General features: G+C 37.8%; 1 protein-coding gene and 1 pseudogene across 8 annotated transcripts in view, besides 1 other annotated feature; both read right to left on the minus strand.

Moving 5' to 3' along the window:
* The window catches only part of DPH6 (diphthamine biosynthesis 6), a 401,189-nt gene that overhangs the window by 148,987 nt on the left and 230,731 nt on the right, over window positions 1–21,471 (minus strand). For 3 of the 8 annotated variants that reach the window (XR_007064493.1, XM_047433263.1, XM_047433264.1), the window contains exon 9: window positions 10,930–10,979. The exons of 2 other annotated variants lie outside the window; for them this stretch is intronic. Coding sequence is in view for 4 of the 6 variants with exons in the window: in XM_047433263.1 (XP_047289219.1) it covers window positions 10,965–10,979 (15 nt within the window). In the remaining 2 variants the exon portion in view is untranslated. Of the gene's footprint in view, window positions 1–1,825; window positions 10,980–21,471 lie in introns of those variants that run through there. 3 more of the 8 variants (XR_001751413.3, XM_011522160.3, XM_047433265.1) reach the window with 2 other exon arrangements.
* RBM17P4 (RNA binding motif protein 17 pseudogene 4) lies at window positions 4,084–5,630 on the minus strand (annotated as a pseudogene).
* Window positions 14,805–15,099: a silencer, noted in NCBI's record as "tiled region #14069; K562 Repressive non-DNase unmatched - State 7:EnhWF". NCBI's record gives its function as "represses a minimal TATA promoter and a strong SV40 promoter by Sharpr-MPRA in K562 cells {active_cell/tissue: K562}" and the evidence as "EXISTENCE:reporter gene assay evidence [ECO:0000049][PMID:27701403]".

A 21,471-nucleotide genomic window follows, 5' to 3' on the forward strand; every position in this document is an offset into this window, starting at 1 on the left:
CCTCTAGCCTCTAAGTCCTACTCAGTAGGGAGAGAGCTTCACATCTCAGCCAGTCCAGTTGTTTGCTCCAACTTTGACTAACTCAGCCCTTTCTCAGTGAACTGGCTTTGGCACGACCACACTCCTCAAAGTGCCCTAGTTCCTGAATTGACTCCGTATATAGCCAGTTGTTTCCCTGCTTCGAAAATGCTGTAATGCCACTCCTATCCCCCTTTCCTCCTACTCCATCCCCAACCCAAATGCCCCTCTTGTTTCCTGAATCTATCCTACTCCCTCAGTCCTTGAAGAACTATAACAATTGTTTCCTTAGTTAGGACTAGATTCTTGAGGGAGTTGCCTTTGAAGCTGCCTTAGACTTGCTGTTCCCCTAAATTTCCATCTCATATCCCTCTGGCGATTACTGTTGCTATTAATATAGTCTTTAAATAGTTCTTTGCTTTCAGACAGTAGGTTTGTAGTATTGTCCTTTCAAGATCAGTTGGTTCATGTCCATGAGGATTGAGCTGTAGACACTACTAGTTGCAACAAGAAATCCTCCTTGCAACTTCAACTTCAACAGTACCTCCTGTTGGTTCTCTTTAGTCTCCTTTGCCGTTTTTTTTGTCTTCAATGTCTGCTAACTCTGATTGTATTAATTCATTAAATTTATCTTTGTGTGCACCTACTACACACTATATACTGTGCTTGAGATACAACAGTGAACCAAAACAGGTATAGTCCCTTTTACACAGAGCCTAGTCTAGCAAAGGAGTCAAACTTAATAAAACAATCCCACAGATAGATATAAAACTGCAGCTGTGACATATGAGATAAAGGTGAGGTGCAAAGAGCTATAAGAACTGGATCAGGGAGGCCACTGGAGTGAGGGAAGGTTTTCCTAAAGCTATGAGACTTGTACAGAAATCAAAGAGAAGACAAACAGCTAGTTAGTCGGGAACAGGATGAGATATGTGCAAAGGTCCTGTTGCATGGTGAGTTCACGGGGCTCAGTGACATTGCCTTTCCTCACAGTCCCAATCCTCCCTCCTAGTGCCATGTCAGCATTCAGAGTTGAAGGGCAGTTGCTGGAACCACCCTGCTCGCAGGGAGGCTGCTCTTCCTTAACTAACACACAACGATCTCACCTCTACGAACTAGCTAAGAAACCAAGCCTGTGAAGAAGGCTAATATGGGCCACTACCCACTTTTCATTGTGTTACCATCAAAACTAACCAGGCCCACATTTAATTTCAGTCCAAGCCTCCCAAGTCATTTTCATTAAACCCATCTGCTACCCATCTCTGACCTCCCAAAGCCTTTCCTTGGACCCTATGGAAATCAGAATCTCTCAGTAACAAAATCCCCCCAAGTCCACAGTTATTTCTGTTGACTTTTTCTTCACCTTTTTGCTCACAGTGAAGACAGGACTCTAAGTCTGCATCTTTTCCTGAGTACTTCAAAATGAAAGTTGCTTTATCTTTCCCACCCACGTTCTAGGACCTGGAGGTAATGTGTCTTCTCTAGCTCTTTAAAATCTCCAGTCTCTTAGAAGTACAAACCACTACCAGACTACACCACCACTTTCATTGTCTTCCTCCATGCCATTACTCCTGTCATCATCCTTGATGGCTTCCACATCTAGGTAGATAATCCATCTGACACTGTGGACTCTCAGGTGTCTGAATTCTACAATACCAACAATCCTTTCCTCCACCCCACACCAATCACTCATTCCCATGGTCACAAGAGCTGTTTTCAGGATGCAAAGTCTGATCCATTAGTAATCATAAAAATCAATTTAATGAGTTATAACCCGTTTTTTTCCTTTTAAGTAACATAGAATAGATTTTAAAATATTGGACTTTATTGAATGAAGTCAGGTAAATATTGTTTCATAATTTTTTCAATTACATATTATGTATGCATTGTGCATATTGAGTTGCCTTGAACATCATATTACTTACTATGTCTATTTTATTTTATTTTATTTTATTTTTGAGATAGAGTCTCGCTCTATCTCAAAAATAAAGCACTCCAGGCAGGCTGGAGTGCAGTGGCGCGATCTCTGTTCACTGCAAACTCTGCCTCCTGGGTTCACGCCATTCTCTTGCCTCAGCCTCCCAAGTAGCTGGGACTATAGGCGCCCGCTACCATGTCCGGCTAATTTTTTGTATTTTTAGTAGAGATGGGGTTTCACCGTGTTAGCCAGGATGGTCTCGATCCCCTGACCTCTTGATCCACCTGCCTTGGCCTCCCAAAGTGCCAGGATTACAGGTGTGAGCCACCACGCCTGGCCTTACTATGTCCATTTTAAAAAGTTTTTGAAACACTGGTTGGCCTTGTCATCACCAATAACCACATTACTTCTAAAATTTTGATTTTTAAGTGCAGATTTGCTAACTACCATCTTCTAATTTTAAAGCCTACTTATTCTAGCTCCCTTCGTCTAAAATTTTTATATCTCTTTCAGACCTCCAATTTATTGACCCTACCACTTTTTACTATACCACTCTCACTCCCAATATGCTCACGTCCTTCTTTATCTGGCTCAGATTCTAGGCTCTATCACTTTAATCATACACATAATTCCTTTGCTCCTTGCTACTCTATTGTATTTTCTTGTCAAAATCTCTAAAGCTACACCCAACTCTCCAGCTACTTTGTGCCACTATTCAAGCTCCTGAATGTTACTAGAGAAAAACACATAACTGGAGACAGATTTCACATTACATTTATGATGATAAATTTCAAGCAGGTATTTAATGCTGCCCAATCTTACTATATTTTCCTAGTACTTTAACTTTCTCTTTCTCCTGACAACCATTTTTTATCTCATATTCTCTAACCTGATGGCCTGGCTTCTTTTTTTTTTTGAGACGGAGTCTCGCTCTGTCGCCCAGGCCGGACTGCGGACTGCAGTGGCGCAATCTCGGCTCACTGCAAGCTCCGCTTCCCGGGTTCACGCCATTCTCCTGCCTCAGCCTCCCGAGTAGCTGGGACTACAGCTGATGGCCTGGCTTCTTATTCCACATTCCCAATACCAAGTCCATAGCCTGATGAGCCCATATGCTGCACCTTCCCTAGGATCACAATAGAATTATCCCTGCTCCTATCTAAGACTAATCACTCCACTTCAAGTTCCAACCTATCTTGCCAACACACAGATTTAGATTCTGGAATTATGATTTCACTGTCCCGTGTCTTCAGTTTTATCCTTTTTCATGAATTATACCCATTAACATAAAAAAAGTGCTATAATGACTCCAAACTTGAAACCAGTATTTTTTAGCCCCTTGTCCTCAACTTTCTGTCAACTGCCTTTTTTCTGTTCCCCTTTACAGCAAAGCCCCTTGAAAGTGAAATCTATATCCACTCTTTTCCCTCCCTCAGTTTTTTTTTTTTTTTAAACCTATTAGGTTTTCATCTCCACTGATCTGTTGAATCTGGTCTTGTCTAAGTTCTCAACAATTTTCATTTTGACAAATCCTGAGGCCAGTTCCTGTCCTTTTCTTATTGTATTCAGAGCAGCATTTGTCCCTTGACCTAATTCTTTATTTTTTTCCCCCAGTCTCTCATTTCTTCTTCTGAGAGACCACATTTTTTTTTGGTAAGGAGATTGCCTGATCTTATTAAAAGTGCTATAGGACTTGATCTCTCTCCTCTTCACTTCTCTATCTTTTCTCTATAGGTGACTTTACTCAGTTCCTAGACTTTAATCTCTATCTATATGCTGTGATTTTTCCATTTTATATCTATAGCTCTGACTTTGAGTTCTAGATTCACAATCATCTACCTGCTTGATACAGCCACTTAGTGGTCTACTAGATACAGTCAATTTAACCTGCTCCAGCCACCCCTGTCAAAAAAACTTTCTCTCCACTAACAAACCCTCTCCTTCCCTACACTTCTCCATCTCAATTTATAAGACTACCATTTATTTGGTGGCCAAGGCAAAAACCTAGGTTTCATCCTTAATTTCTACCCTTCCATCACCAATCATCAGCAACCTCTGTTAATTCTACCTCCAGATTATGTGCCAAATCCACTGCTCTTTATCTTATTATTGCCTCCCATCTCTCCAATCTTATCTCTAACATTTTCTTTTTGTTTTTTTTGTAAACGGATTTTTATACTATATTAAAAAGCCACAAAATAAAAAAGGGATCAACCAACATATATCTTACAAGTCCCTCCAAGAGTCTCAGTATGCAACAGTCATGGAGGCTGTGACCTTTTTCCTTCTTTTCTCGGCCTGCAGTTCATTTAAGGATCACCGGAGATGACTTGTGCTCTAGTTCTTAAAATCAAACTTGTTCTGCCAAATCCAAGATACTGAATTTTTCCAAATTGTAGAAACATGCATTTGCCACCTGTCCACCAAAATACCTCCCATTCGAGTCAATAACCGCTTGAATTGCTGATTTAACTCTCTCAAATTCTAAAAATATCCGTACTGCTTCATCATCAGGGGCACCAGAATTTCAAACAACACACTTTCCCCAACTTTGAGATATTTTTCACGTTCTTCCTTGGTTTTAACTTCCAAGTCTTCATCCACCTTTCCCGCACCAACCATGTTCCTTAGTAGGACCACTTTATTAAGACACTTAAGTATTTCAGTCAGTGGATTTGAATCTGACTTCTTGGATGCATCTTTCTCCGTGGCGTCACCCACGATGATCTTGCCACCAAGCTTGCTGGTCTTCTCCACCGAAAAGGCGGTGCTCAGCCCCTGCTCATGCTTCCCCAGACCCTGGCCCTCCCGGAAGCCGTACTTCTGTATGATCTTGTGCGCCACCGTGCCCCCCAAGTTAGCGAGGAAGGAGTTGCGCTGGGCCGGGTTGGAGATCTCGGTCTGTCTTGTTCCTCGTACACTGGGGGAGGAATGGCAGTTTTGGAAGACTGTGATCGAGGTCTTGAGTCCTCTTCATAAGGAAAATCTCGGGGTAACTGTCTTTTACTGCCAGAGAAGTGGGTGAGGCAATGGCAGCTCCGCCCATACTTGTTTTCCTCTTCTCTCGCTCCTAATCTTCATCTTCATCAGAATCCGGATCTGAACTCCTTGAAAACTCACGTGCATCATGTCTGTATTTATGCCTTTCTTCTCTTTCTTCTATTTCTTCTGTCTTTCCAGCTCCCGCTGTCTTTGTCCTTCCTCTCTGGCGTTTCACTACTTTCTTACAATCGTTAGGAAACATAGGATCATATTCGTCAGCTAAGGGAATCAGAACTTCCCCTGCAGAAAACCCACTGGGAACAGGATCCTTCAGCCCAGCTGGCACATGCGGTGGTGTGTCCACAATTTGCCCGGTCATCTGAGGAGCCACCTCGTTGTAGGTCAATGACTGGGGCAAGAACTGTACCTTGTTTCGTCCTTTGGCTCTTTGCCTGAGTGAGAGCTGCCTTCTTCACCTGAAGCTGAGACTGTAGAAGTTTGAAGTTTTTGGACCAGCCTTCTGTTTTTGAGTCACTGGTTTCCTCTGATCGTACAGGGACATCTTTTCTTCGGTTTAATGCCGGCCCGCCCGCCGACTCTGCCCATGGGCCGCGGTGGCGGCAGCGCGGAGCCGGGGAGGCAGGAGCCAACGGCGGCACCACCCTCCGCTGAGTCCGCGGGGCGCTGGGCGGCGCGGGGTCAGGTAGCGCGGGCTGCTGGGAGAGCGCGCCCCATCTCTAACATGTTCTTTCTCACTCACTATGTTTCCCCATTCCTAACTCCTTCCTGCCTCTCCCCAGCTGTTCACATAGATACACCTTAGGGAAAGACTTCCCTGACTCCCTAATCTAAAAATGGATCTCGCCTCAATTATTCTCTATCACTAAGTCTCGACTTATTTTCTTCATAGTATTTAGCAGAATCTGAAAGTATTCTTTTTTGTGCGTGCTTGGTATCTGCTTCTCCAATAAAATATAAACTCTATCAGGCCAGGGCTGCATGTTCAGCTCCTAGAATATAGTTCTAGGGCTCAACACAATCAAACATGCACTTATCAAAATATCACCCTGGCTGGATAGCCGATTTAACACGCGGAGACCAGTGAGGAAGTTGCTAGGGCAGTTTGGATGAGTGACGATGGGCGCTTGTACTAGGACTGTGAGCACAGAAGTGGTGAGAAGTGAATGGATTTCACAAACACTTGGGAAGAAAATCATTTGTTTTAGGCCACCCATGCAGGGGCAACAGCAAATGAGAACAAGCTTGGCATGCTGAATGAACAAAAATGGAAGATGGAGCACAGTGAAAAATGAAAAAATGGTAGGAGATGGGGCAGACAAGGGTATAATCATGTAGTACTCATAGGCCACAGTGAGAAGCTTGGGTTTTGTTTTAAATGTAACGGAAGCTATTGAATTGTGTAATCAGACTTACATTCTTAAAAGATCATTTTGAGTACTACATTGAGAATAAATCATGGAGGAGGCAGCCAGAGTAGAAGCAGGCAGAGCAGGTAACATGGCAATTGTAAAACCGTAGAGAAGAATGAAGGTAGCTCGGGTTATGATTGTAAGAACGGAGATGAAAAGCAGCAGGTAGATTCTGAATCGTTCCGGGACTAAAGTGGCAGCATTTGTTTACGGATGTAATGGACAAAAGAGAACATGAAAAATGCCTATGTTTTTGGCTTGAGCAACTGGGTGAGTATTTATGCTGTTTCCTGACGTGGGAAAAGACAAATGGGAGAGAAGTGGGAATTAAGTCAAGTTAATAAACTATTACGTTGGGTATTATCTTTCACCCCATATGGTAAGTCTGGATATTTTCCACATAATTTTGTTGACTGTTTCCATAAGTTATGTACCAAGGACAGGGAGTTTCAAATATTCTTTGCAACATTTGAGAACTAAAGAATCCCCCTTGGTCATGATCTTCTGTGCCCCTGTAAGCTTACAGGCACACATGGCATCATCATTATGATGAGTCCTGTACTTCACCCCACTACATTACCTGTTTTATAGAGTGCCACTAGGACAATTCAGCAATGTATTCTATCACCATCTATCAAGGCATGAGAAAAATCATCTTCTTTTCAAGTATTAGAATTGAATGATCACACTTGAGTTATCTGAGATTATTTCTTGATCTGAGCAACAAGAAAATGGTCTCATTTCCAAGTTAAAAAAGGAATTATATGAATCAAGAACCAAAGACCTTAACACTAAATCACACTAATTATTTTACATAGTACTATGTAGGTTTTGAGAAATTTAAAACCGTATGTATTACTCAAACATTTCTTCCAATATTTACTTGATCACATATTTTAATAGGTAACCATGACTTTGTCATCCAAGCCAGGACACTTATGAAAGTGAAAGGAGGAGCTATTGATAATTACAGGAAAACACCAGGACTGTGCAGACATACTGAGCTCTAAGGTCACTCTGTTTATAACATGATGCCTTAAGAATGAAAGCTCAGACAATATCTGGCTTTATTTAGCTAAGTCAGGTGGTAAAATACGAAGAATAACATGAAAGAAAAATTAGGAATTCTGCATCTTGCTCAGTGACTTTTCTCCTCTTTGTTTTTCATTTAGTTGATTTAAATACATAATTACCAAATAAGTTTTTGAAAAGTCAGTTTATTCAATTAAATTTGTGGTACAAATCCAAATTAAGATTCTTATTTAATTATATTAGGTCTTATATTAGGGCTTAAGAAATCTAAAGAGGATGCTATAGACATATCATCTATACATTAAAAGAAAAATTAAAATAACTTCAAAAACTAGAATAAAAAAATTAGGCCGGGCGTGGTGGCTCATGCCTCTGTAATCCCAGCACTTTCGGAGGCCAAGGTGGGTGAATCACTTGAGGTCAGGAGTTTGAGACCGGCCTGGCTAACATGGTAAAACCCCATCTCTACCAAAAATATAAAAAATTAGCTGGGTGTGGTGGCATGTGCCTGTAATCCCAGCCACTTGGGAGGCTGAGGCAGGATAACTGCTTGAACCTGGGAGGCGGAGGTTGCAGTGAGCTAAGATAGTGCCACTGCACTCGAGCCTGGGCGGCAGAGTGAGACTCCATCTCAAAATAATAATAATAATAATTAAAAAGATTTAAAAACCAAATTCCAACATTTATTGTAGTCAATACATAAAATACATATATAGGTTTGGTAAAAATATATGCATACAAAGGAAATATTTATATATAGAATAAAACCATCATATCTAGAACTAAGACAAATCAAACTGAATACCAAATCTTTGGTAACAAAAGGGAAAAGGTTTCCACTAATGTAAATATATACTTGGGGACATTTATTTTCTCATTTCAGTTATCATTTTCAAACTATGCTGTATTTTCTGTATAACCCATTTTTCATCTGCCCAATTACTAGCAATCTCTTTTCTACTATCAAAAATGATCATTTGTTTCTTTATTGTAGTAGATAAAACATCCTTTCATTGTTTCAGCTCACAAGCTGTGCAGATCCTACCCACTGTTCTTGCCTCCAGCACTTCACATTATTGGTGTATTATTTCATGCATGCCCTACTCTTTTATCAATTGCTTTTGAAGTAATGTTAATAGACTAGAAAATTGAGACATTTATGAAGTATAGGCAGTGTTTATGAAAAAATCCATAAAATATGACACAGGCAAGACAAGATAAAAGCAGCATTTTAATAGATTATGGCAAAGAGATCCTGTCAGAGTTTGACAACTGACTCCTTCGAGATCACTAATTTTTATGGGATTAATTCTGTGGTATAAAAAATGAAGTTAAATGTCCTAATTAATCTGTAAATAGCACACCCACAATTAAACCCTGTGGTCCCTTCTTGGATTGGGGCTGCAGTGATTTTTGAAAGTAATTATCTCAAATTCACAATGAAGACGATTTTTCTTTTTTTTTTTTCTCATGGCATTTCAGCTAAATAACCACCTGAATTCAAACTTGAATAGGGTCTTCTTATATACAAATCAGTTTGCAGATTTGTGTGGAAACATATTGATTAGATTTGTAAGCTATATACTTATAATGGTTTCTATATTAAAAAATAAAATTTGGAGAAATGGTGCAGAAAGGAAGTGGTCAAGAAAAACTAGAGTTTCTCCATATTGGGGCAAGTCTTCTTTGTTCTACAATTTAAGAACCCCAAAGGGTTGAGTTTCCTTCTCTTACACAGGTGACAATGTGGTGGTGCATTGTCTCTTACACAGCAGTTAGAAAGTACATTACATTGGAGTTAGAAAATAAAGCACTCCCTGACTTTTCCATCATGATGCTGTGGCAGGGTGCTCCAGAAATATTAGTTCCATTCCTCTTCCTTCCTTCCATCTTTAATATTTGAACTTAATAATACTGTCTATAAAGGTGCGATGTTATCTATATGTAGTCAGATGAAAGTAATACAATTTATTAAATATAAAATATTTTAAAATATTTTTATAATAGCGCTAATAAGAAGGCATACTAGTCTTTATGATTCACATTCATTATTTAATTTCTTACCAATAGACGTTCCAATGACAAATATTACTGCTACTGCCTTGTTAGTAATTAGGAAACCAAGATTCAAAGGTTTCCTTAAACCTTTAAAGAAATTACTCAAATTATATATATATGAGGTAATAGAACAGATTCTTGAAGCTAGATCTCCTGATTCCAAATCCTATGCATTTTTCAGTATAAGTATACTGTGACGTTACAGCTTTGCAATCAAAAATAACCTGATGATAAAGTAAAATATTCTACCAGTTTTGGTGAAGAGAAAATTATTCAGATCAGTTAGCTCTGGAGTTAAAAAAAAAAAAGGGGGAGGAGAGGTTAGTGTCTATTTACTCTTCATTTGATATTCTATATTTTGGAGGAATGGGAATATAGTCATCTTTTTTCCCCTTTTTTTTTAAAGAAGGATACTAATTTTCTTTATTGAGTCCCAGGATAAAGTAGGATTGCAAAAGCTAATCATTTTTTTTTCATTTATACTCTAAGGCCCTGGTAATAGGTAAGCCGTGATTATATTCCTGAAAATAATATTGTAGCAAAAATGGTGTAATACTGCCAGGTTTGAGAGAAAGCTCTTTTAAGTTGCCATTACTTGGCAAAGTAGTACTATTGTTAAGAAAATAAAAATCTAGTTTTCTGATTTCTTATAGTCTTTCTTATATAAATGACAAATATTTTGGCTGAACTGATACACTGATGTGGTTAATTTGATTAAATGATATATTTATCTGATTATCTAACAAACTGAATAATATAGGCTAGCCAAAACCTTTCACATCTCACATGAGGAAACAGAAAATTGAGAGACACTAAGTGATTTGCTCAAGATCATGTACAGATTATATTACAGATTCCTGACTAGAACTCACTACTGCTGATTGTAAGCCCAAGTTCCTTTCCAATACATTACCTTCCTTGATTTTATCAGAATATTATTCAGTCAAAACCTCTGGCACATACAATCTAAGATTTTAGCACACCCTCTGATGGAACATCCTTCAACAGGTGAAACATTTAAGAACAGACAGGCCCAGTATTATAAACATGATTGCAAAGAGAAGTCCTAAGCTGACAGAAAGAGAAAATAATAAATGGTACCTTTTTCATCTCTAAACTCTCTAATTCCGAGAAAACACCCTAAAGCCTTTGCCTTGGTAAAAAATATTTGAAATGCCAAATCCAGTTATCAATTCATCTCTATGTGTGTCGGGAAGGATTACCACAGTTAAGTATATTCTAATCCTGTTTATACCCAGCATTACTCCTGATGTTCCAGTAAGAGTGCCTATTTTTATTTTTATTTTTGAAGTGACACTAACCTGAGAAGAAATAAAAAAACAGTATGTTTAAGCCATTCTTCAAAGCTCATCTCTATGAAGCTATTTGGATGGTAAAAAAAAAAAAACAAAACTCAGCAAGCTGCAGCTAAATTACATAGTCTCACCCTCACATTCTCTGAATACAAATAACAAACGAACGTGATATACTTACAGAGTTTGATAATCAAACTTGTAATTCTGCTTATTTTATGCTGTTCTGCCCTAGAATTGAAAATATAGACAACTAGTCACAGAGGGACACTTTTAATATTATTGTTTTCACATCTTCACATGACAGCAAGGGAGATCTCCTTGTATGGTATGGTGAATACAACATGGAATTTTTACATGACCAACTCATATACTCATTAAAGGTACTGAGATATCCATAAAGGTTTGAAGTGTTTGATAATGTCTGTTGAGTAAGTAAACTTGTTGTCTCAAGTCAGGTAGTACGCTGTTGGTTCTACTATAGATGATGCTTCATTTTAAATATCTTTAAAGGGCACACAGTAACTCTTTTCTAGGGTGTGTTTTGCCTCCAAATAATTATTAATAACACCCCTTACACTCACAAAGTGTTCAACATCATTAAATAGAAAACAATGACTAAGGTCTTAAAGAATGTTGAGCTATTTTTCATGACTTTAACCACATACTCACACTGTGAAACAACAAAATTAACATTTTCCAAATCTCGTATGTTTTTAGTTCCTGATTATTCCTGTGATTCAAACCACTTTAGTTTTCAGTTTTAGATTATTCTGTTTTACATTCAATTACCAATTTAGGAAGTTCATAATTGACTTGAGATCTACCATCTCTTGACTTGCCATAAAACCACCTGTATTAAGTATGAGGAAGTTTGAGATAATTACACAGGAAATTATGAAGTATTGGTTATTGTGCTTAGACCATTTAAAAAGCACGAAAGATCTTTAAGATCTCACATAGACAGAATTCTATACATATCTCTAATAAAGATCAGTTACAATTTAGTATTCAACTTTTGTAAGAAATTTTGTTTTTTTATAGCCATCAACCAGAAGACACAAAATATAATTACATTAAAGTAGTAAAAAATTAGCATGACATAAATACTCAGACCTCAAGGGTCAAAAAGCTAAATCGAGTCTTATAATTTTGTAGTGGTTATTCTGTTATTCTTGTTTTGGGTAATTGTATTGCTGGAACACTAAGGTTTTAACATCTGTGCACTTTGGATCACCTTAAGCCAGCTGGTTCCTTTCAAAACTGCTCATCTTTTGTTCTTCCTATGTTCTGACCTGGGCCCCTAGCCTTAAGACAGCAGTGTGCTTTCTGCAGCCAGGATATCCTCTTCAAGACTGTCAGACAATCTCAAATGATTGATGTGCTAGTCTGGTGCTCTGGTATTTTTCCCTTTAGTAAGACTCCAGTAAATCTACAGCTCATTCTATAAGAATGCTAATTAGATCACTTTTACTAACTTCATGCATGTTTTTCTTGTTCTCCTGTATCTTTGGAAGTGAGCTTAAAGTTTATAATACAGTGTGTTTCTAAACTGTTTTTTATAATATTACATAGAAATAAAATACATTTCCCACCAAGGGAAATAATTCAAGTGATGCACTCAATTGGCTCTTTTCTTTCTAGAACTGCACCATGCATCCTCACTATGCTTACTCTTATTGGGAGCCTGCTCTACCCTCTCTGAGGTCATGCCCCTTATTGAGTCATGGTGTTCTATCATTCAAAGCCAAAGCAGGGCAGAGTCAGGCTCTGTTAGGCTATCAGGCTTGTGTCTTTGCTGCAGAGCTGTTTTCACATAAAGACAGACCTCTATCAACCTCAGGGCATTAATTCTAAACCTATTGCCTTAACACAAATTGTACCACGTCTCTCAACCTGTTGATTTTGGCTTTGAATTTCATGATTGATTGCCCTTTTGGGGCCTTACATAACCTCCCATTCTGAGGCTAAGAATTGACTTTCTGGCTTCAAACTTTTGCTTTCATTCTTGACCATATTTGGACTTTATCTCCAAATAGGTTACCTCCCTCAGTAAAGTTCAGGTCACTATGGTTTCCAGAACCTGTAATTACCTCAGCAGAGCTCTCTGCAGAGAACACACCCAACATGTTCAGTCTGATTCCAGAAGTCAGGCTCAGACTGAGAAAAGTCAGGAAGCAAAAAGACTGGGTGGATGTTGTCACGTGGCCCTTAAGAACAAAGGCAGTTTCAGAGCGAGGTGGCCGAGAGGAAAGAGAGCATTTCAGGGATAAAGAAAAGTAGATAGGAAAGTCTGGGCAACTTTAGGGCTTTTATAGTATGACTGTGCACAGTACAATCACAAAAATATGTTTAGTTCAAGTCATTTAAAAAGCTGTAATCTAGTATATTTACATTAAATTGTTTCCTTATTAGTGGCAAGAGAAAAACTGATAACCACACAGTAGAGAAACTGGGCACTACTCTGACTAGGTCATCAAAATTAACATCCCCGTTGAGGGCAGATGGATATAGTGTGCCTCCTGATGTGACACCCTGAGAAGAGCACATCATCTCTCACTCTGTATTGGGCACAGAACATGTCACCTCAATCTACCCACAAAGAAACATCATGTAAAACCAAAACAAAGAATTCTCTATTATTAAAGATGGAATTACAGTTTTCAAAAATTTGAATGCTATAAAAGCAAAACAAAGCTTTATAGAAATGCTCCAGATTAAAGGTGACTGAAGAGACTAAATGTAATACCTGATCCTAGGTTGAGTCCTAAAAACAGTCCCGACCCTGTTTTTCCTGAGGAAAAACAACAGTATAAAGGATATCGTTGGGTTAACTAACAAAATTGAAATACAGATGAAGGATTAGAAAAATGCATCAATTTTAACTTTACTTGTATATAAAACAATATTTTTATTTTTAGGAAATTTTTATTTTTAGGTATTGTAGTATATAGGAGTAAAGGACCATGCTACTACTTTTCAAAAGGTTCAGAAAAAATGTGTTGTGCATGTGTATACACATATACATATATGCATATCTTATGTGTGTGTATATATATGCATATATACAAACACACACACACATATATTCAGAGAGATAAAAGAGAATGAGTGAGCACAGTTATCTGGTAATGCAGATGGAGCAAATGTCAGCAACAGGTGAATGATGGTACAAAATATATAGATATGTGAACATTCTAGTATCATTCTTATTCATGCTACTTTTCCGCATGTCTGAAATAACTGCACAATTAACCTCTGAGGAAATAAAAACTTCTGGTCAGCCATGGTGGCTCACACCTGTAATCCCAGCAATTTGGGAGGCTGAGGTGGGAGGATTGCTTGAGGCCAGGAGTTCAAAACCAGACTGGGCAACATGGTGAAACCTCTCTACAAAAAATATAAAAATTAGCTGGATGTGGTGGCGTGCGCCTGTAGTCCCTGCTACTCAGGAAGGTGAGGTGGGAGAATCACCTGAGCCCAGGAGGTTGAGGCTGCAGTCAGCTATGATCCTGTCACTGCATAAATAAATAAATAAATAAATAAAACCTCTAGAATGTCAAAAGCTTCTATGATTTACCACAAAAAAGTATGTGAGGTGATGGATATGTTAATTGGCTTGATTTAATCATTCCACAATGTAAATGTATAGCAAAATATCACATTGTATCTCATAAATGTATACAATTTTTATTTCCAACCAAAAATAAAATAAAGTAACCCTCCCAAAACAAGCAAAACAAAACAATTGTCAGGTATGGTGAGGGGTGGGGAAGACCTGAGGAAGGCAGGGGAATTTTTACAGTAACAGAAATCTCTTAATTTAAGTGCCTGGTGGCCAAAAAGAAAAAAAAAAGTACTTGGATAACCCATAATTGGAAAGACAATTCCTACCGAAATGAGTTTATACCTATACCCAGAGAAGATTCTTTCTTCTTTATATGCCATAAACATTTAGGAGCTGAGATAGTTTGTATTTTAAGGAGACATATGTAAAAATGATTTTAGGTCTTAGTGCTTCTGTTATTTGTACTTCTACACACTAAATATAATAAATGTAATTTGAATGTAACAATAAGAGGATCAACACTATGGAGATAGCAAATATATGCTTATCTGAAAGTTAGCAGATAAGGAAGTACTGCCAAAATAAACAAGCTGAGAGTGAGAACGGACATTCAAAGTACATTATTGTGTTACTGGAACATCTGGTACTAACACTGTCAAGTTTACATACATTCTCAAATGCTTATTTATGTAACAATCAGATGCTAAGCATTCCAGCTGCACTTGTAAACTTTTTATGAACTGAAGTCATATGCACAAGCTCAGCTAAATATACTTCACAGAGGGAGGAGCGTGAGGAAACTAAGAACTCTCACAACTGAAGTCTGATTGCAGTGCAGCCTTCTGGCAGTGTTCTGGACCAGTGTCTGGTGTGAGAGCTAAGCTGCTGGCTCCTAAAAGATTCATTCCATTCTAGCAGCTAGAATCAGAAATGCCTAACCAATGGGTCAAACATAATTTGGCAGTTACCGTTTTTAGACATAATTTTCTCAGAAAAGAAAATGATATCAGGAAAAGAAAACAGAGCAAAGGACATGATGAAGTAGGTCATTAAGAAAGAGAATATTTAATATTCAAGTGAAAAAAATATTTTCCTCAACCCATCCTAGAGCTAGCACAGGTAGAATGACTGATTGTGGCAATGCATAAATTAGAAAAGACAGCATAAAAAGAGGAAGCATGTTTGTATGATAATTATCTCATATCACTCCTAATGAAAATTAGTTGTGTGAAACTTTCCTTCTTAGAGACAGAATTCATAGTAACTGCCTTAAACCCATTTTAAAGAGCGAAAAGGCATAGGGGGAAATAAGTATTTCATGCTGTTTTTCTCCTCTACTAACAAAAGGAAGTTAGATGAACCAATTTTCCTCAAAGTTTGCCAATCATTTCTTTGATGAAATTTCTAGAGTATGAAATGTTGCAAAATGGAACTAATTCATTAAGTTGTTTATTTTCTGAACAGTGATCTTAAAAGTGATTCCTCACAGGTTGAGGTTAAAAAGACATATTTTTTGGTAAAAATAAAATCCCTTTGACTTTTAAGTGCCTGGCACATTTCTGAAAGTTACCTTTAGAATTAATCAGATGTTTCAGAGTGATGTGATCTTGAAATGTGAATATCTATAATCAGTGGGATCCTCCTGTGTGCATTTTTTGGCTGTCAGTAGCACTTTTCTTATGCCAGCTCTTGAAATCACAACTTTTGGGCCTAGAAGAAAACTTTTTTTTCCCCCTGTGTCACAGTAGTTTTAGAGCAGTGACTCAAACTTAGGTGAACATTTGAATCACTTGGAAACCCAGAACCCATTCCAGACCAATTAAATCAGAATGAAACTCATCCATCAGCACCACTTAATTTTGTAGCCCAGATTGAGAACACCACGTAGAACGAGAATGGATATTCTTTAGGGACAGTGGGATTCATTTCACAAAAATGGCATTTTTGCAAAATAATTGAAGCACTAGGCATTCCCCATGCTGTCCTCTAACCAGGCTCCGGAAATTTAAGGGTTATAATTACAACAGCTTTAACTCTTCAAACTCCATCTTTTTGCACATCTTAAAAAGGGCCAGTAAGGGACTGTTCTAGGGTAGGCAGTCCAGCCTTGCATGCTCTGTGGCTTCTCTCATTTTACCTGAGGAACAGTGGGGCGAGAAAAGAGGATCTTTTTTCACTTTTGGCAGGTCACAAAAAAAGTAGCAATTTTTGCCTACAAAACTACATTGCAATTATGAACGTGAAGAAGGGGTTAGGATGTAGGTGGAAGCTTAAATCATAAACAGGACAGGACATAATAACCTTATATGAATGCCTTTTAGAACTACTCAAAACAATATGTCACATATATATAAATTTCTGTGTAATAGTACTAGCTGATAGAATAACCTGAAGTTCAGCTTTAAAAAGAATGACTATTACTAATACTACCTTCTGATTACTAATAGTACCTTCTTTAATGCTCACTGTTCTGTTTAGATCATAAATTGGCCGAGTGTGGTGGCTCACGCCTGTAATCCCAGCACTTTGGGAGGTCGAGGTTGGTGGATCACCTGAGGTCGGGAGTTTGAGACCAGCCTGACCAACATGGAGAAACCCCATCTCTACTAAAAATACAAAAAAAAAAAAAATTATCCAGGCATGGTGGCACATGCCTGTAATCCCAGCTACTCAGAAGGCTGAGGCAGGAGAATCGCTTGAACCCGGGAGGAGGAGGTTGCAGTGAGCCGAGATCACTCCATTGCACTCCAGCCTGGGCAACAAGAGTGAAACGCCACCTCAAAAACAACAACAACAACAACAAAAAAAAAAACCCAAAAAAACCAGATCATAAGTTATACTAAAAGAGATTGGAGAATTATTATTGAGCGGAGAATTCAGTCTAAAAGGAGAGATAAGATACATGAATTATACGTAGTACTCAATAAACATTAGGTGCCATATGATTATGGTAATTATTAATTTAAAAACAACAGGTTTTAAAGGCAATTTACAAGTACTGAAAACAAAAATGCACCCCCTCAGATTTCAATCACATCTTGGCAACTGAAGACTGCTTTTTTTCCTCTACATCTCCACAAGTGGTTATACAGTACCATCTTTGAAAATAAATGGCAGTCTTCTTACTCTTTTTTCTATACAAAAATATAATTCAAGATAATTACAAAAAAATTTCTGTCTTCAAATATCAGAGGAATTTGTCTACAATAAAGCTAATTTAAAAATTATTACCAAATAGATGCCCTCCTTATGACTATTAATCCAAGTTTAGAAATTTACGTTCAATGCTTTGGGACAAGAAAGAAAAAAAGACATACACACAGAGAGCGAGAGAGACAGGAATGGCATTAAGATCTGCTTTAAGTACAGTTATCTGAAATGTTCTCTTGTTTTGACTTATTCCAGAAGGAAAACTTGAAACAATGATTAAATGAGTATAAGTTACAAAGAGGCATATTTTAGCTCAACATAAGGATTTTTAAAATAGAGTTGTCCAACAGAATGGATTGTTTCAGGAAATGATGAGCTCCTTTGCTGAAGATATCCAAATTGAGACCGGATGAGCATATGCCAAGGATGCTGCAGAAAACATTTCTGCACTGTGTGGGAGGTTAGCCAACAGTAGATGATGTCTTAGGTTCCTTCCAACGCTAAATTTTATAATCTTATGACTATCCAAACACGAATAACTACTTTAATGATACAGAGTCTGAAGCCTGGTTAAGAAAATGAAAAAAAAAAAAAAAAAAAAAATAGAACAGGAAAAACAAACAAACTTTACTTGGGTACCAGGGAAAACAGACTATATGAAGAAGTTTCATCTTTTTTTAAATGCTGAGATAAGGAAAGCTACTATATTTTAAAAGCATACATTTTATGACGCATGCAATTATTTTATAAAACCTAGTACAAACAATAAAGCATGCATTTCCAAAAGATAAATGAGCTGAAGAATAAGAAATTATTTGCTGAATGATTTGTACAATTATTGAATTACAGAAGGGTATAATAAGGTAGGCAGAAAGCCAGTGAAGGACTGAGCAAGGTTTTTCCACAGTCTCACAGTCCTATGGAGACAAAAGCTAGATTTTAGAAACCTCCAAGGGAGAGGGATTCTGATTAAAAACCCCAGGATCTCAACTGGGAATCCAGGTGTCCACAAACTGGAAAAGCAGAGATAAACAAGAGGCAGGCTGAGTATTACGAAATCTGTAATTGAGTCCCAGAATTAAGATAATCTGCCAACACTCTGCTGGCCAAACAGATTCATGGAGAGAAGTAACATTATCCAGAATCACTACAGTTTAACAAATACAATATTCAGCATTAATAAAGAAAGGAATAACAGACATGACACAAAACAGGACAGGAGGGGAAAAAACCCAGATCCACAGGTGACTCATTTATTGAAATTATTTGCTAAAATTAAAAAGAACTCTATTTCCTTCTTTTGCATATAGTTATCTGGTTTTCCCAGCATCATTCATTGGAGAGACTGTCCTTTCCTCATTGTATGCTCTTGGTGCCTTTGTCAAAGATAAGTTGGCTCTAAGTGTAGGGATTCATATCTGGGTTCTCTAGCTTATTCCATTGGTCTATGTGTTTGTTTTTATACCACTACCATGTAGATTTGGTTACTACAGCTTCGTAGTAAATTTTGAAGTCAGGCTGGGCGCAATGGCTCATGCCTGTAATCCCAGCACTTTGGGAGGCTAAGGCGGGTGGATCACTTGAGGTCAGGAGTTTGAGATCAGCCTGGACAACATGGTGAAACCCCATCTCTACTAAAAATACAAAAAAAAAATTATCTGGGTATGGTGGCAGGTGCCTGTAATCCCAGCTACTTGGAAGGCTGAGGCAGGAGAATGGCTTGAACCTAGGAGGCAGAGGCTACAGTGAGGTGAGATCACACCACTACACTCCAGTATGGGCTACAGAGTGAGACTCAGTTTAAAAAAAAATTTTTTTTTTTTTTTTAAATCAGGTAGTGTAATGTCTCTAGCTTTGTTCTTTTGGCTCAGGATTGCTTCGGCCACTTGGAGTCTTTCATGGTTTTATATACATTTCAGGATTTTTTTTTTTCTATTTCTGTGAAGAACATCCTTGGTATTTGGATAGGGACTACATCGAATCTGTAAATTGCTTTGGGGAGTACTGTCATTTTAACAATATTAATTCTTCCAATCCATGAGCATGGAATATCTTTTCTTTTTGTTTTCTCTTCAATTTCTTTCATCAGTGTTTTATACTTTTTATTGTACAGATCTTTCAGTTCTTTGGTTAAATTGATTCCTAGGTATTATATATTATTCGTATCTATTGCAAATGAGACTGTTTCCTTGATTTTCTTCTCAGATTGTTTGTTGTTGGTGTATATAAACACTACTGATTTTTGTATCCTGCAATTATTGAATTCATTTATCAGTTCTAACATTATTTTGGTGGCATCTTTAGGTTTTTCTAAAAAAAATCATGTTGTGTGTGCACAGGGCTATTCATACACAAAAATTGAATCGAAATTGACTTAAGACTTAAATCTAAGACCTGAAACTATGAAACTACTAGAAGAAAACATTGGAGAATGACTCCAGGGCATTTGTCTGGGCAAGTATTTATTTTGTGTAAGACACCAAAAGCACAGGCAACCAAAGCAAAAATGGACCAATGGGATCATGTCAAGCTAAAAAGCTTCTGCACAGCAAAGACAACAATCAATAGAGTGAAGAGACATCCCACAGAATGGGAGAAAATATTGCAACCTATCCATCATACAAGGGATTAATAGCCAGAATATATAAGGAGCTCAAACAACTCAATAGCAAAAAAAAAAAAAGAAAATTAAAAAAATGGTCAAGAGCTCTGAATAGACATTTCTCAAAAGAGGACATACAAATGGTCAACAAATATGAAAAAATACTCAATATCAGTAATCAGAGAAATGTAAGTTGGTGCAAAAGTAATTGTGGTTTTAGCATTGTTGAAATTTGCCATTTGATATTGGAATACGTTTTTAAATACATGTGGTTATGTCATACATCATTTTAATGCATATTTCTCATTTTTTTTGCTAATGACTTATTACTTGATATATATTTTATGTTTATTTTAGGCTATGGAAATGATGTTAAACAAAAAGCAAATTCGAGTGATTTTCTTATTTGACTTCAAAATCGGTCATAAAGCAGCGGAGACAACTTGCAACATCAACAACGCATTTGGTCTGGGAACTGCTAACAAATGTCCAGTGCAGTGGTGGTTCGAGAAGTTTCACAAAGGAGACAAGAGCCTTGAAGATGAGGAGCACAGTGGCCAGCCGTCGGAAGTTGACAACAACAGAGAGCAATCATTGAAGCTGATCTTCTAACAACTACACGAGAAGTTGCCAAAGAACTCAGTGTCAACCATTCTATGGTCATTTGGTATTTGAAGCAAATTGGAAAGGTGAAAAAGCTAGATAAGTGGGTGCCTTAAGAGCTTAGCAAAAATAAAAAAAATCATTGTATTGAAGTGTCGTCTTCTCTTTTTCTGTGCAACAATGAACCATTTCTTGATGGGATTGTGACATGCGATGAAAAGTGGATTTTATACCACAACTGGTGATGATCAGCTCAGTGTCTGAACCGAGAAGTAGCTCCAAAGCCACTTCCTACAGCCAAACTTGCACCAAAAAAAGGTCACGGTCATTGTTTGGTGGTCTGCTGCTGGTCTGATCCACTACAGCTTTCTGAATCCTGGCGAAATGATTACATCTGAGACGTATGCTCAGCAACTTGATGAGATGAACCAAAAACTGCAATGCCTGAAGCTGGCATTGGTCAACAGAAAGGGCCCAGTTCTTCACGACAACACCTGACCTCATGTCGCACAACCAACACTTCAAAAGTTGAATGAATTGGGCTACAAAGTTTTGCCTCAACCGCCGTATTCACCTGACCTCTCACCAACCAGCTCCCACTTCTTTAAACATCTTGACAACCTTTTGCAGGGAAAATGCTTCCACAACCAGCAGAATGCAGAAAATGCTTTCCAAGAGTTTGTTGAATCCTAAAGCACAAACTTTTACACCATAGGAATAAACAAACTTATTTCTTATTGGCAAAAATGTGTTGATTGTAATGGTTCCTATTTTAATTAATAAAGATGTGTTTGAGCATA

The sequence above is a fragment of the Homo sapiens genome, chromosome 15 (assembly GCF_000001405.40).
Source record: "Homo sapiens chromosome 15, GRCh38.p14 Primary Assembly".
Lineage (NCBI taxonomy): Eukaryota > Metazoa > Chordata > Mammalia > Primates > Hominidae > Homo > Homo sapiens.